At 35.6% G+C, this 14887-nt stretch overlaps 1 protein-coding gene across 3 annotated transcripts, besides 1 other annotated feature; it reads right to left on the minus strand.

The window, feature by feature from the left end:
* Positions 6476–13473, minus strand: SERPINB4 (serpin family B member 4). Of its 3 annotated transcripts, none has more exons than NM_175041.2 (8): positions 13426–13473; positions 12630–12820; positions 12378–12434; positions 10977–11105; positions 10091–10208; positions 8851–8993; positions 8402–8494; positions 6476–7340 (listed from the first exon to the last, which is right to left on the minus strand). In NM_175041.2, the coding sequence occupies exons 2-8, from the start codon at positions 12792–12794 to the stop codon at positions 6936–6938; spliced, it is 1110 nt and encodes a 369-aa protein (NP_778206.1). In that variant the 5' UTR covers positions 12795–12820; positions 13426–13473; the 3' UTR covers positions 6476–6935. The 3 variants fall into 3 exon arrangements, with proteins under 3 accessions (NP_778206.1, NP_002965.1, XP_011524440.1); NM_002974.4 differs by having other exon boundaries at positions 8402–8557; XM_011526138.2 differs by having other exon boundaries at positions 8402–8557; positions 12630–12839.
* Positions 10003–11202: an enhancer, noted in NCBI's record as "MED14-independent group 3 enhancer chr18:61308020-61309219 (GRCh37/hg19 assembly coordinates)". NCBI's record gives its function as "activates an origin of replication core promoter dependent on BRD2, BRD4, P300/CBP and CDK7 cofactors, and independent of MED14, by STARR-seq in HCT116 cells {active_cell/tissue: HCT116}" and the evidence as "EXISTENCE:reporter gene assay evidence [ECO:0000049][PMID:35650434]".

Below are 14887 nucleotides of genomic sequence, written 5' to 3' on the forward strand. Positions count from 1 at the left end.
ATGTGGGGACATAGATTAAAAGTGCAGAGGTTTTCAATGCAGACAGAGTTAAACTGTTATCAGCTTAAAATAGCCTAATGTAAATATAAAATATTTTCTATAATCCTCATTGTAAATACAAAGCAAAAACTTAGAGTAGATACACAAAGGAAAAAAAGTAAAGAATCAAAGCATGTGACTACAGAAAATCATTCACAAAGGAAGACAGCAAAAGAGGAAGAAAGGAATGAAAGATCTACAAACAACTGAAAACCAATTAACAAAATAGTGGTAATAAGTCTTTATTGATTAATAGTTACCTTGAATATAAATGGATTACATTTTCTAATCATAGACATAGATTGACTGAATGGATAAAAATAAACAAGATCTAACTATATGCTGTCTACAAGAGACTCACTTCACCTTTAAGGACATAGACTGAAAGTGAAGGGATGGGGAAAGTTATTGCATGCAAATGGAAACCAAAAGAGAGCATGAATAGCTATACTTATATCACATAAAATAGGCTTTGAGTCAAAAGCTGTAAAAAGAGATGAGGAAGGTTATTCTATAATGATAAAAGGATCAATTTATGAAGAAGATATAACAATTATAAACATATGCATCCAATGTCAGAGCACCTAAATATATAAATATGAACAAATCTGAAGGGAGAGATAGACAGTAATACAATAATATTAGAAGACTTCAGTACCCCACTTTCCTCCATACAGAAAATCAATAAGGAAACAGAATTAAACTAAATCTTAGATCAAATGGACCATTCAGAACATCCCATCCTCCAGTTACAGAATACATATTTTTCTCAGGCATAGAAATTTGAGAACATTGAAATCATAGTAAGTATCTTTACCAACCACAATACTTGAAACTGTAATTCAGTAACAGGAGGAATTTTGGAAAATGCCCAAATATTTTAAAATTAACCGACATACTCCTAAACACTCAAGAGATCAATGAAAAAAATTTATTAAGAAGTATGTTGAGGCAAACAAAAATAGAAAAAAAAACATAACAAAACTAATGTATGGGATGCATATAAAAAGCACTTCTAAGAGTAATTTTTCTTTTTGAGACAGGGTCTCACTCTGTCACCCAGGCTGAAGTGTAGTAGCACAATTATGGCTCACTGCAGCCTCAACTTCCAGGGATTAAGGAATTTTCTCACCTCAGCCTCCTAAGTAGCTGGAACCACAGGTGTACACCACCAAGCCTAGCTACTTTTTCATTTTTTCTGTGTAGAGATGGGGTTTCCCTATGTTGCCTGGACTGGTCTTGAACTCCTGGGTACAAGCAATCCTCTCATTTTGGCCTCTCAAAGTGCTGGGATTACAGGCATAAGCCACTGCACTTGGCCAAGAGTGAAGTTTATAGCAATAAACACCTACATCAAAAAAGAAGAAAGCTCTCAAATAAACACCCTAATGTAATATCGCAAAGAACTAAAAAGACAAGAACAAAGCTAAGCCCAAAATTAATAGAAGGAAGGAAATAATAATAATCAGAGCAGAAATAAATGAAATAGAGATTAGAAAACAATAGAAAAGATCAACAAAAGTTAGAATTGCTTTTAAAAAATTATACACAAATGATAAACCTTTAAAGGCTTAGAAAAAAGTGGAAAGATGCAAATAAAATCAGAAATGAAAGAGATTTTACAACTGATACCACAGAAATACAATGCATCATAAGATACTGCTAAGACCAATTATAGACCAACAAATTGGATAACCTAGAAAAAAACTGATAAATTTCTAGATACGTATAATCTACCAGGATAAATCTACGATGAAGAAACAGAAAATCTGAACAGACCAATGGTGAGTTAGGAGATTGAATTAGTAATAACAATTCTTTTATCAAAGAAAAGCCCAGAACCCAGTGGCTCTACAGCTGAATTCTACCAAATATATAAGGAAGGACTACTACCAATTCTTCTCATACTTCCAAAAAAACTGAAGTGGAGGAAATACTTTCAAACTCATTTTAGGAGGCCAGGATATGGAAATACTAAAGCCACACAAGACCACTACAAGAAAAAAAATTATAGATGAATATCCTTGATGAGCATAGATGCAAAAATCCTCAAAAATTACTAGCAGACTGAATTCAATAGCACATGTAGTTGATCAATTGACATAATGAAATAGGATTTATCACAGGGATGCAAGGATGGTTTAATATATGAAAATCCATAAATATGATAAATTTTATTATCAGAATAAAGGACAATGATATGATTATCTCAAGAGATGCAGAAAAAGCGTTTGAATAAATTCAACCTGATTTCATGATAAAATTTCTCAATAAATTAGGTACAGGACTGTATTTTAACATAATAAAAGCCATCTATGACCAACCCACAGCTAAAATCATATGCAATTATGAAAATTTAAAACTTTTCCTCTAAGAATAAGACAAAAATGCCCACTCTTTTATTCAGTTTGGTACTAGAATTCCTCGTCAGAGCAATTATGCAATAGAAAAATGTAAAAGCCTTCAAAATCAGAAAGAAACAACTTAAATAGTCTCGTTTGCAAGTGACATGATATTTTATATAGAAAACCCTAAAGATTCCACAAAAAAATCTGTTAGAACTAATGACTTCAGCATAGTTGCAGAATACAAAATCAACATACAAAGTATTAGTAGTGCTTCTATGTACTTACAAGCAACCACCTGAAAAAGAAATCGAGGAAACAATTTCATTTACAATAGTTCAAAATATACTTAGGAATGAATTTAACTAAGGATGTGAAAGACATTGAAAAAAATTGAAGTAGACAGAAAGCAATGGAAGGATGTACCATTTTCATGGATTGGGAGAATTAATATTGTTAAAATATTCATACTTCCCAAATTTATCTATGGTTTCAATTCAATACCTACCAAAATTTCTTTAAAAATCCTAAAATATGTATAGAACCACAAAAAACCTAGAATAGTCAAGCAATTTTGAACAAAGAGAACAAAGCAGGAGGCATCACACTACTTAACTTCAAAATATCTTAAGAATCAATATTAATCAAAATGGCATGGTACTGGCATAAAAACAGGCACATAAAGAAGTAGAAGAGAATACAGTCCAGAAATAGATCCAGATATTTATGGCCAAATAGCTTTTAACAAAGGGCCAAGAACATTTAATGGGAAAAGGACAGTCTCTTTAATAAATTGTTTTAAGAAACCACATACACATGCAGAAAAATGAAATTAGAACCATATCTTACACCATATGAAAAATCAATTCCAAATAGATTACAGGTAAGACTTAAAACTGTAAAACAACTAGTAGAAAACAGAGGGGAAAAGTTTCATGATATTGGTTTGGGCAATAATTTTTTGGTTATGAAATCAAAGGCAACAAAAGCTAAATTAGACAAATGAGACCATATGGAATTAAAAAGCTTCGCACAAATGAGAATCACCAGAGTGAAGAGACAAATGGGAGAAAATATCTGTAAAGCATACATCTGAAAACGGATTAATATCCAAAATATATAAGGAACTGAAAAACTGAATAACAATAAAACAAATAACCCAATTAAAAATAGGCCAATGATCTGAATAGACATTTGTCAATAGAAAACATGCAATATCAATAATCATTTGAGAAATGCCAACTAAAACCACAATGAGCTATCACCTCACTCCTGTTAGAATGGCTTTTTGTCAAAAACGCAAATGATAACAAGTGTTGACAAGAACGTTGCAGAAAAAGGCTTATTTTACTCTGTTGGTTGGATTATAAATTAGCATAGACATTATGGAAAACATCATAAAGATTCTTCAGAAAATTAAATACAGTACTGCCATATGATTTAGTAATTCCAGTTTTGAGTATATTTCCAAAGGAAATAAAAGCAGTTATGTTGGAAAGATATCTTTATTCCCACGTTCATTGCAGCATTATTCACAATAATCAAAATACGGAATCAACCCATCTATGTAATAATGAATGACTGGATGAGGAAAACGTGCTATATACATGCACAGTAGAAAACTTACTATTCAGCCTTTAAAAGGAAGGAAACTCTGTCATTTATGACAGCATGGTAAACCTGGAGAACGTTATGTTGAGTGAAATAAGCCATGCAGAGAAAGACAAATATTGCATGATCTCTCTTATATGTGGAATCTAGAAAAGTTGAACTCATATAAATAAAGAGTAAAATGGTGGTTACCAGGAGCCGGGATGTGAGAGGGAGTTGAGGAGATGTTGGTCAAAGGATACAAATTTCAGTTAAACAGGAGACATGAGTTCAGAAGGTCTATTTTACAACATGGTGACTATAGTTAATGCATTTTATTTTTGAAAATTGCTTTGCAGTGTTCTTACCACAAAAAATTATGTGAGGTAATGTATATATAAATTAGCTCTACTGACTCATTCCACTATGTATACATATTTCAAAACAACATGTTTTACAACATAAATGTATACAGTTTTTATTAATTAAAAATACATTTAAAAACAACATTTAATGAAGAAGATTTTTTCACCTAAAGATGTGTGTTTTGGACAATTCTCTTTTTCCTCTTTTGAGTCAACTTTATAGAGGCATAATTAATTAAAATAAAATGTAAGTGTGTAGTTCAGTGATTTAAGACTGTTTTCCAACATGGTTGCACCTTTTGTATTTCCATCAGCAGTTTGTGAGAGTTCCAGTTGCTTCACATTCTTTTCAAAACTTGCAATGGCCCAGTATTATAAGTTTTAATTTTGGCCATCATAATTGGTACAAAGTGGTATTCCATGAGGAGGAGTTTTGAAAGCACTTAAATTTTGCATTTCTTATGAAACTTTTAATTTAGTCATTTATTTTATATGAGCAGGGACTCGTATTCTGTTTTACTCAATAGATTTTAATTCATTATTTAAAAAATCAAGACAAAAAATTTGGCTTTCCCTTCAGTGTCTCTTGCAGATGGCTACAATGCAGGGGCAACTGGTTTTCTGGTGGGCCTAGAATGTATGTAAATATTTCAATTCTCCTAACAAAATATCAACTATGCCCTCTCCTCTATAAGAATCTAATGCTTATGAGCTTTGTCTTAACATTTTCATTATTAAAAAGTACCTTCTTTTAAACCCAGAAAAATTAATAATAGTTGAAGGATATGGTCTAAAGTGATTCTAACAATCAGTTCTTCAAAACTATCCACTCTACCATTTTCAGCTTCATTGAATCATTAGAAATTAATCCTCACCTATTGGACAGAATTTGAGCTTTATAATTCCTTACAATTTATCATTTTAAAGCATACTTCAAAATCATAGGTCCTGGCCCAAACTTCTGACCTCTTCATCTTTCTCATAAACTCAATACCATCCTTATTTGACCTCAGTAAGTATTGTAATGCACATGTGTTCTTCAAGACTATTACATCCTTCTTTGCTTTCTTTCCCCAGCTGTATTCACTGAACAGATTGTTGATGTTATACACTCTCTGGCTAGTCTGTCAATTCCCTCGACAACTTGACCAAGTCTCATAGTTAAGTGGTGAAACATTTGTTTCCTCTGCCTTCATCTTGGACTGCTGAATCTTGCTGAAGAAAACTTCAACCTTGTTCAAATTCTCTAAAACTTATGTTTTATGAAACCAGGTGGGATTCAGTACTGACTGGGAAGAATCTATGGGAGTAAATATGGAACCCTAAGAAAAGCTACTTTCTGGAAAATAAAAATGATCAATTCCTGATCTTTACACATGCTGATATACTTCAAGGTCAATTCTAGATTCTTCTTTCTTCTAACTTTATCCTTTCTCCCTAGTATCTTATTTTTGCTTTTAGCTACAACTACCATATTTATCCCAATGACTCTAAAGTATTTATATTGAATATCACAAATTTAGAGCTTCAGATCATATTCTGTTTCTGAGATTTAGACTAATATCTTCAAGTGCCTGCCAGGCAAATCCATTTGAATATTAAAAGTACCTTAATTCATCAAGTACAAATTTAAACCCAAAGTCTTTTTTTCTCTCAGAAACAAGATATTCTTCCATCCATCCAGTCAGATAGGTCAGCAACTTAGATGTCTTTCTGTAACTATTATTTCCTAAATAATTCCCCCAGGCTCTTTCTTTCTCTCCATTTCCACTCCCAATACTCTAATGATTTCCTAATTTATATATGGTAACCACACTGTTCTTTCCTCGCATCCATTGATATCAGCGTAGCCAGAGATGTATTTTCTAGATGTGGATATGATAATTTTATGCCCCTCTTTGACAAACAACCATCAAAGCCTGTAATGAGTTTCTTATCCCTTTAGCATAAAATAGGAAGTTCCTATGTGGTTTACAAGGCTCCTCCTGTTCTGGGATATGCCTTCTACTCCAGGCTCATCATGAACTACTCTGTTTTTAATTTTCCTTTATATATGATTAATATATCTCTAAATTATCTTTCCTATGTGTAACTGGACACTTGCCCTTTCCAGAGAGAAAACAGGTAAAGCAAAAATGATTTTATGTCATTATTTTATTGATGATGTGTTTTATAGAATCACAAAATTTAGAAACATAAGAAGGATTTAGGTATCACCTAAATTCAAAGAAATGTGTGTTTCTAGGTTGCTAAATTTGAAGAGAAAGTATGATTTGGTTTGGTTCATTTAAAACAGGTCAGAAACAGAATTATATTTCAAATTTAGAAGACACGGTATTAAATGATTCATCTTATCTTGGACATTTTTCCTCAAGGGAAATTTTTCTGGAAGGAAAAGTACATTTATATGTGGGCTTATTAAGAGAAAGAGAGAAAGGCATGCTATTTTAATCATTAAATTCTTGATGATGACTATCATCATCAAGATGAGATAGAAAAGAAATATGAGCCAAGAGAATCTGTTGTTGCCAGCAATCAGTTTACCAGAACACCTCTAGGTGAACATTTTCTAAATGGAGTGACAGACTAATTGCATCTATGGGGATGAGAATCTGCCATAGAAGAGGATGCTGTTGGTCTTATTTTGCCTTATGAAGAATAGGAAAGGGTGATTACAACAGAACTCTTCATTAGTTGAAGGAGATGATAATTCGACTACTACTACAGCGGTGGCAGCTGCAGCTTCCACTCCCTCCTCAGTGACCTCCACAAAGGCCTTGTGTAGGACTTTAGATACTGAGAGACCGTGGCTCCAGGTCATGCCTGAGAGGTCTGCATCCCCATTGAAGATATTCACCATTCCCATGGTTCTCAACGTGTCCTTGAGGTCATAGCTCTCTTCCATTTTGAACCGAGGTAAGTGTAAATCGACACATGTCTCTCTCATATTCTGCAAACTTGTCCATTCCATCAATTTCTCAGCAGTGAGTTTCTCTTCAAGCTATACAAATGGAAAAAAGAAACTGATATGACTAACTGTCGATCTCTAATACACCTTAACAATGAATTGACTATGTGGAGATTCGTTATTTTGGCAATAAATGTGAAATACAGAAGGTTCACTTTAATAGACATTATTATTCTAATAGGTAAAATATGAGTCCTGAATATATAAATACATTGGGTTATATGTGTATATGTATATACATGTATGTAAAAACAGAATCATGTTTTTACGTATATGTATATGTGTACATATGTATGTATACAACTGTATGATACACATGTAAAATATGATTACATTATTTTGTACACAATGAACTGTATGTATCACTATTTCTTGTGCCAACAGCCTACTACATGTGTCAATTTTTAATAGGCTCATCATATTTTTCTGTATACATTATTTAGTACACATTGCAATTATTAAATTGTAATTCCCTAAATTCCTAAATTTGTATTCCCTTTTCTACTCGGCCTATTTGTAAACTTTCCTCACATTGGTATATATTTCTCCCAGTCAAGTTTAAATTGCTGCATAATAATATCATCAAATTGATATCCAATGCATGTAACTCTAATAAATTAATCATTAACTAAGCCATAGATGGAATTAAATCATAGATGGGAATTGAACAATGAGAACACTTGGACACAGGAAGGTAACATCACACTCTGAGGACTGTTGTGGGGTGGGGGGAGGGGGGAGGGATAGCATTAGGAGATATACCTAACGCTAAATGACGAGTTAATGGGTGCAGCACACCAGCATGGCACATGTATACATATGTAACTAACCTGCACATTGTGCACATGTACCCTAAAGCTTAAAGTATTATAATAATAATAATAAAAACAAACAAACAAACAAAAACTAAGCTTTCAGTTTGTGTCAGGCCCTATGCTCAAATATTTGTAATATGAAGGTGAGTCATCATTCCTCATTTAGAATTTTTCATCATTTTGAGGCAACTCGGTCATAAGCTTTTACCTTGTTTAAACTTGGTATCTTTGGAAAAATGTCCGGCAGTAGAAGGAAGAGTTGTAGATGCAAGTTCTTACCTTCTGCAGACCATCGATTTCATTTGGCAGCAGCACAATCATGCTTAGATCTTTGCCTTTGTATGGTATTTCCAGGACCTTGGCCTGTACATCCTCCAGCAAGGCAAAATTAAAGGAATTGTATTGCCTCATCATCTGTACAGATTTGTATGTATTCTGCAATAAATCAATGTGTCCAACAAATAACACGTGAAACACAAGACAAAAAAGATAATATTATTGAGATAGCAACACATCCTTCTTCTTCTAAGAAATAACCCAGGAATTCCATGAGTTAGAAACAATAGTTTTTCAGGTATTCCTAACTAAATAAAGTTATAAGAGTAAAACAACAAAATAACAGACATGAACAATTTTTATTTTTTACTTATCATGTTACATTCCATCAGAAATGTTTAACATTCCATGTATTAACATATTACACTATATAAATAAAATATAGACAATACCTTGTTTGGCCAAAATTTTTCCTCTTTAGTGTTTTCTTTTTTAAATTTATTCTCCCACTGCCCTTTGAAATAGATTGCGTTCACAAGAACCAGTGTCGTATCATTGCCAATAGTCCCATCAGGAAATAGGTTTTTAATTTTTTCTGCAAGGGAAAGAATAAAAGAGTCTTTTACACAAGCTACAAATGGCTTGTCTGGAAGATGCTTTGCAAATGTTCGTGACTGATCGTTAATTATTGACCCAAATCCCTGCTTGAGACTCACTGACTTTGATCTTTGAATTGTTAGACTCACTGACCAGTGGTTCACCAGATGCAGCTTTCTTCAAGGCTCCAGTCGTATAAAGTTACCCTTGATGGAGACATCACTTCTTGTGATAGAGAAGGAGTTCACGTTCTCTGTGTATGAATGTCTCCAATCATCTGATTTGGAATACTGATAAACTGATTTTGTCTACTCTTCCAACATGTGTCTTTCCTTTCTCCCTCCCTCCTCTTCCTACTTTTATTTTTTTTTAACTACGGGGTCCCCATTCAGAGGAAGGAGGCCCTGATTGCATTTTAGGATGAGTGACTTGAGCTCTGTAATATGAAACGCATGTCCTGTGCTGTCAGACACTACTTCCGGGGGTATCTTCCTATTCACTCTCATGTTGAGTTGCTGTAAGTTTGGCCTGTAATGAGAGGTGGGAGGTAAGAAAGATGTCTGTAGAATGGAGACTTTGTCAAGCTCTTTGCCCTTGATGGGGAAGAGAGCTGTGATAATCCCTGCAGAACACATTGGCTACAGATGTGATCCAGGCAGCTCCAGCTCAGAGACAAAAGGGTGATTTACCAGAGAGCTGCTTGTTTCCCAATTAGTAAAGGAGACGAGAGACGCTTTCTAATGTTTTCTATTAAATATTCATCATAAAAATTTGAGTCTGATTTAAAGTAAAGGATATGATCTCAAAATAGGCCTGAGCGGAGACAGGGGATCCACAAAGCTATTGTCATGCAGGGCCATAAGCAAATAATTCTCCAGATGTGTTTCCATCTAATTGGCTTCCTGTGATTTCCTCCTTGGCTCCCCTAGGCTCTCTTCATATTCATTTGGACAAATCCTTCATCTGGAGTGCCCTCTTCAGCCCTCCCTGCAAACCCATCTCAATCCCCACACCTGTTCCCCCATGCAGTGTCAAGCACAAGGCTCACTGGCATAGGTTTCTCAAAGGTGTTTCTATAATGGGTGGCTCTCCTACCATTCGTTTGACTTTCCACCCAGGAGTTAATCTTCTTTCGACTTTCTTCTGGAGCATTTGCAAAATCAGTAGATTCCACACTGGTCTGGTAAAATTTCTTGATGGCATCTAAATATTCCTTTGAGATATGAAGGAAGAAGTAGGAATTAGGAGTAATTTATGTAACTATATATTACCAAACTTACTTATTTGTAACAACAGTAAGCTGAATCCAGACCCTGAATAGATGCAGTATCTCCTGTCCATGGATATTTTTATACAGGTGTCATGTAGGCAATGCAAAAGGGGAATGTGGGCTGGCACAAGAAAGAGGTCACTGAAGGTCAATATCATCTTGGCAAAAGGCAGAAGCAGAAGAGGCTGTGGTTTGCAAACTGCAGAGCAGGCTTCCCTGAAGGAGATTCATTGCTTCTCAGACTTCTCTCCAGTAATTTTAACCATGATGTTTCTGATCTTTGTTTTTGTCTTTCATCCTGTGCATTCAATATTTCCTGGTACTTCCTCAACTATTCTCAGGAACTCACCCAAGCCTGCCCATTCCAATAATATCCCATTAGTCATACATTTCCCACCAAGATGTATCGTATGTGACTGAGTCAGTGCCAGTTTATCGATGGTATCTTATTACTTATTACTCTTACTCACTCTATTACACAACCTCCTCTTTTATCACAAGATTATCCCTAAATCCACACTTCAGTGATGTATCGTTGGGGTCTGGGACACTCCAGTGGGGGAGAGTTGTGGAAATGGAGCTAATGCACTCTGAGTAAATGCTCTCCACCTGAGTCGGCCAGGCTCATCTGCCTTGCTTTCTTCCATTTGGCCACTCAGAGACACAGACATCAGGATGCAAATGAAATGTGGGTAGGCCAGGTGAAATTACCTGTAAAAATTGATACGTCTTTTCTCCGAAGAGCTTGTTGGCGATCTTCAGCTCATATGCATCAGTGGATTTGTTGAATTCAGTCAGAAGCTTTTGAAACTGGTGATGAACATTTCCTGACCTATCAACCTTCAAACATCAAAAAGGGAGATCATTCAATTGCTGTATCAATGTAAATACTAAACCCATGCTAAGTCTGTTAGATCAGTCCCTAAATGCTGGTAGTCTCATTGAGGACCTTTGATGTTATTCCCTGATAATTGGTGTATTTCACCTCAAATACCCTTCAAAATCCACCTTATATTTGACTTCTTCCAGAAAATTCTTCTTGCTCTAACGTACTGCAATCTTTTCTCTTCTGAACTAAAGATGCAGCGCTGTCTACCAGTAGATTTTCTCCTTGTTGGTTTAAAGGGTTAGGTTTAGCTTCCCAGTTAAACTCTCAGCTCCTTATGGGCAAGGACCATATTTCACTTCTAACAGTCATCAAGGATACGAGTATGTTGAAGGTTGGATATTTTAAATAGATTATGCCAGGAAGCCCTGTTATACCTGTTGGTGCTATTATCTTGTAGGACACATTGACTGATCTGTGGCTCTTTCCTCATGATGGTCATTCTCTGCACGTAAGAAGAGTGTATGCCAGGTCCATGGCTAAGGACTTTACATGGGTAACTCTAAGTCTTTAGTTCAATTCAGATGAACACAAGAAAGCTCAGAGAATGGGGAAAAAAACCCTGTTTATAGAGACATAAATTAGAAGTGCCAAGTTTTGAACCTAAGCCTGTTTAAATCTAGAACTTTCTACCTTCCAGCAAAGCATTTTGCACTATTAAGGCTCTAAACCAATATATTCCATAGCAATCATTTTCCAAAATATACTTGGACTTGTGCTTATTCCTCTGAATCTCATTAATGACTCAATGAAAATTAAATTATTTTCACATTATTATGATTAGTATAATTATAGCTACTTTATAATAATAATAACATTTATTATGACTTTTATGGGCAAGGCACTGTTGTAAACATTTGCATGTATTTGCATGTATTGAGTCAGATTTTTTCTTACCCTTAGTTTTCTGGGATGAGGTCACTGGGACTCCGAGCAGTTGTGTCCTGCTCTTATTCATCATTTGTGAAGAGCAAAGCTGGAGTCTGAACCCAGCCTATCCTGATCCAGACCTATGCTCTGAGGTACAGTGCTGACTGTCTTTTAGTAACGCAGAAATGAGGAATAATAATTATGTGCCATGAAATGCCAACCCACTCTGTATGTCTCAATCTTTGTGTCCAAGATTTTCCCTAAAACTGGCCTTTTCTTAGTTTTTGTGAAGTTCCAGGTTTAAACTATGACCTGTTCAGGGATCTAAAGCTGAACCATAGTGCTCTGTGACTCACATGATATGTTGCAGCTTTTTCTGTGGTGTTCTCTGTGACTTGATCAAAGTGAAGAACCTGGAAGAGACATGAAGCGGGACAAGAAAACTTTACTCAAAAGATCTGTTTAAGTCAGTGGTCTCACAGTTATGGGAATTCCTGCACAGCCCCCTGTGCTACCCATCAGACCACCACATCTATTACCATCTGCGTGCTAGCCGACGGAACCAGAGAAAAACTGCAACAGGACAACGTAATGATGCTGATAGCTACCTTGCTAATTTGTTGTGCAGTGTTGTCTTTGGCTCCTAAGAGGACCATCCCTAATGCTGATGTGATGCTGATAGGGGAATAGAAGATGTTGTTCTCTTTTGATTTTCTGAACTGTTGGAACAGATCGAACATGAACTTGGTGTTGGCTTCACTGAGTGAATTCATGGTGAACTCGATGTGATCTGGAACTCCTGGAAAAGCATCAGATTCCTGTCAGAATGACTTTAATAAATGGAATGGTATTTTGTAGTACAATTTTCTTAAAGAAATGATATATCTGGGTTGTGAGATTTTGACATTTAAAGTTTTTCTCTTATTTTTAACGCTTCAATCTTTCTACAATGTGCATATATTAAATATATTAATGTCCTAATTAGAAGGCTTACAAAACTACGTTTTTAAAGACTATTGTAAATAAGTAATCGACCCTCTTTATCTTTCTTTCATTGCTGGTTACACTAGAGCTAGGTAGGATGGCTTTACAATGAATGCTAACAGGAGACCTCTGTGGATCACATCCAACCAGCTGTTAAGATGCGTCCCTGACATCTCCTTCAAGACTCTCTGGCTGCAAGGCACTCTCCCTCTGTGTTCCTAAAAGTGCCTTGGTTTACTTGGAACTAAGCAATTTAGATAAAGGACAAATCAGATGAAATAGGTATTTTAATTTTGCTCTGGCAGAATAAGTAAAATATAATCAGACAGAATGCAGGAGATGCATGATATAGAACACAGTATCATTATTATTCTCAAAAATAATTCATGTTATTAAGCTGGAGAGGCTTGAAGCTCTTACCTGTGTTCCTAGAGGAAGCAGAGGTGGGCAGAGAGGCTGTGTGTGTCTGTGGAATGAAGGGTGAGATCCTAAATTTATGCCTCTCCTCTTGCTGCCTTTCCCTCTGTGGTTAGTATTTGAAGTTACTCAACTTCAGATTTCACAAGCGGGCTAACACTCACCTTTATGAATATGAAAATTTATGACAAAGGACAGGATTACAGTTCTACCATTGTACCTCCTTTTTAATCTATAGGGAAAAAATAAGAATGCAAGTCAGCAGTCACCGGCTCATGTGAAATACATGTAGGTGCCTTTCTAATGCCAATGAGAATAAGTTTAGAATTCCAATTTCCTCTCATTTGTTTCAACTCCATCCCTTTGTATTCTACTCCAGCTGTAAAACAAAAACAAAAACAAACAAACAAAAACCCCACCATTCTTTTCTTGGATTTTGCATTGTCTTTTAGGCATACTTCGAATACCAAAGAACTAAAAAGCTTACATTTCCTGTTTTTCAGTTCTGAAAGTTTTTGTCATCCTATGAATTTCCTTAGTAATTTTTCTGTATAACAAGGAATGTAGTGCTAATTCTAAGTCCAAAGAGATAGTGAAGAAGTGTACTTCAGTATCTTATAGCATACTATGGAGAATAGGATTCTATTGCCTTCTCCTGAGTGCTCAGCTTTGGCAGTGATCCTACCAGTCACTTCCTGTGCCCCTTACAACCATCCCAGATGGTTTTCTGTTGCATAGGCTCAGTGAGAAAGTTATCTGCCTTGCTGAGTGATATGGTTTGGCTGTGTTCCCACCCAAATCTCAACTTGAATTGTATCTACCAGAATTTCCACATGTTATTGGAGGGACCCAGGTAGAGGTAATTGAATCATGGGGGCCGGTCTTTCTTGTGCTATTCTCATGATAGTTAATAAGCCTCAGGAGATCCGATGGGTTTATCAGGGGTTTCTTCTTTTGCTTCTTCCTCATCTTCTCTTGCAGCCACCATGTAAGAATAACTTTTGCCTCCTACTGTGATTCTGAGGCCTCCCCAATCACGTGGAACTCTAAGCCCAATTAAACCTCTTTTTCTTGCCAGTCTCAGGTATGTTTTTATCAGCAGCATGAAAACAGACTAACACATTGAGTTAACAGGCTGACACTGAGAAGAGCAATTGAAACAGACGGGCCATTTTAAATGGCAGCTTTCTAATTTTACATTTAAAAATGAAGCCGAAAAATAAATTGCTTGACCTGTCAGGATCACAACATTTCTCAATGGTCCTTCTGTTTAGCACCTGGCTTCAGACTCATTCCAGTGTTTCCCCTGGAATATCTTGTAATCTGAAGAATGTCTGTGGCCAGGGAGAGGGGTTGTTGTCCAAGGCCATTTAATCCAATATCTCCCTGACAACCAGAGTGGGGGGCTGTTTGTTTTGTGGACCCCCTTTTTATTAACATATAATTTATATACCATAAATTCAAC

This window comes from Homo sapiens, chromosome 18, assembly GCF_000001405.40.
Source record: "Homo sapiens chromosome 18, GRCh38.p14 Primary Assembly".
Classification (NCBI taxonomy): domain Eukaryota; kingdom Metazoa; phylum Chordata; class Mammalia; order Primates; family Hominidae; genus Homo; species Homo sapiens.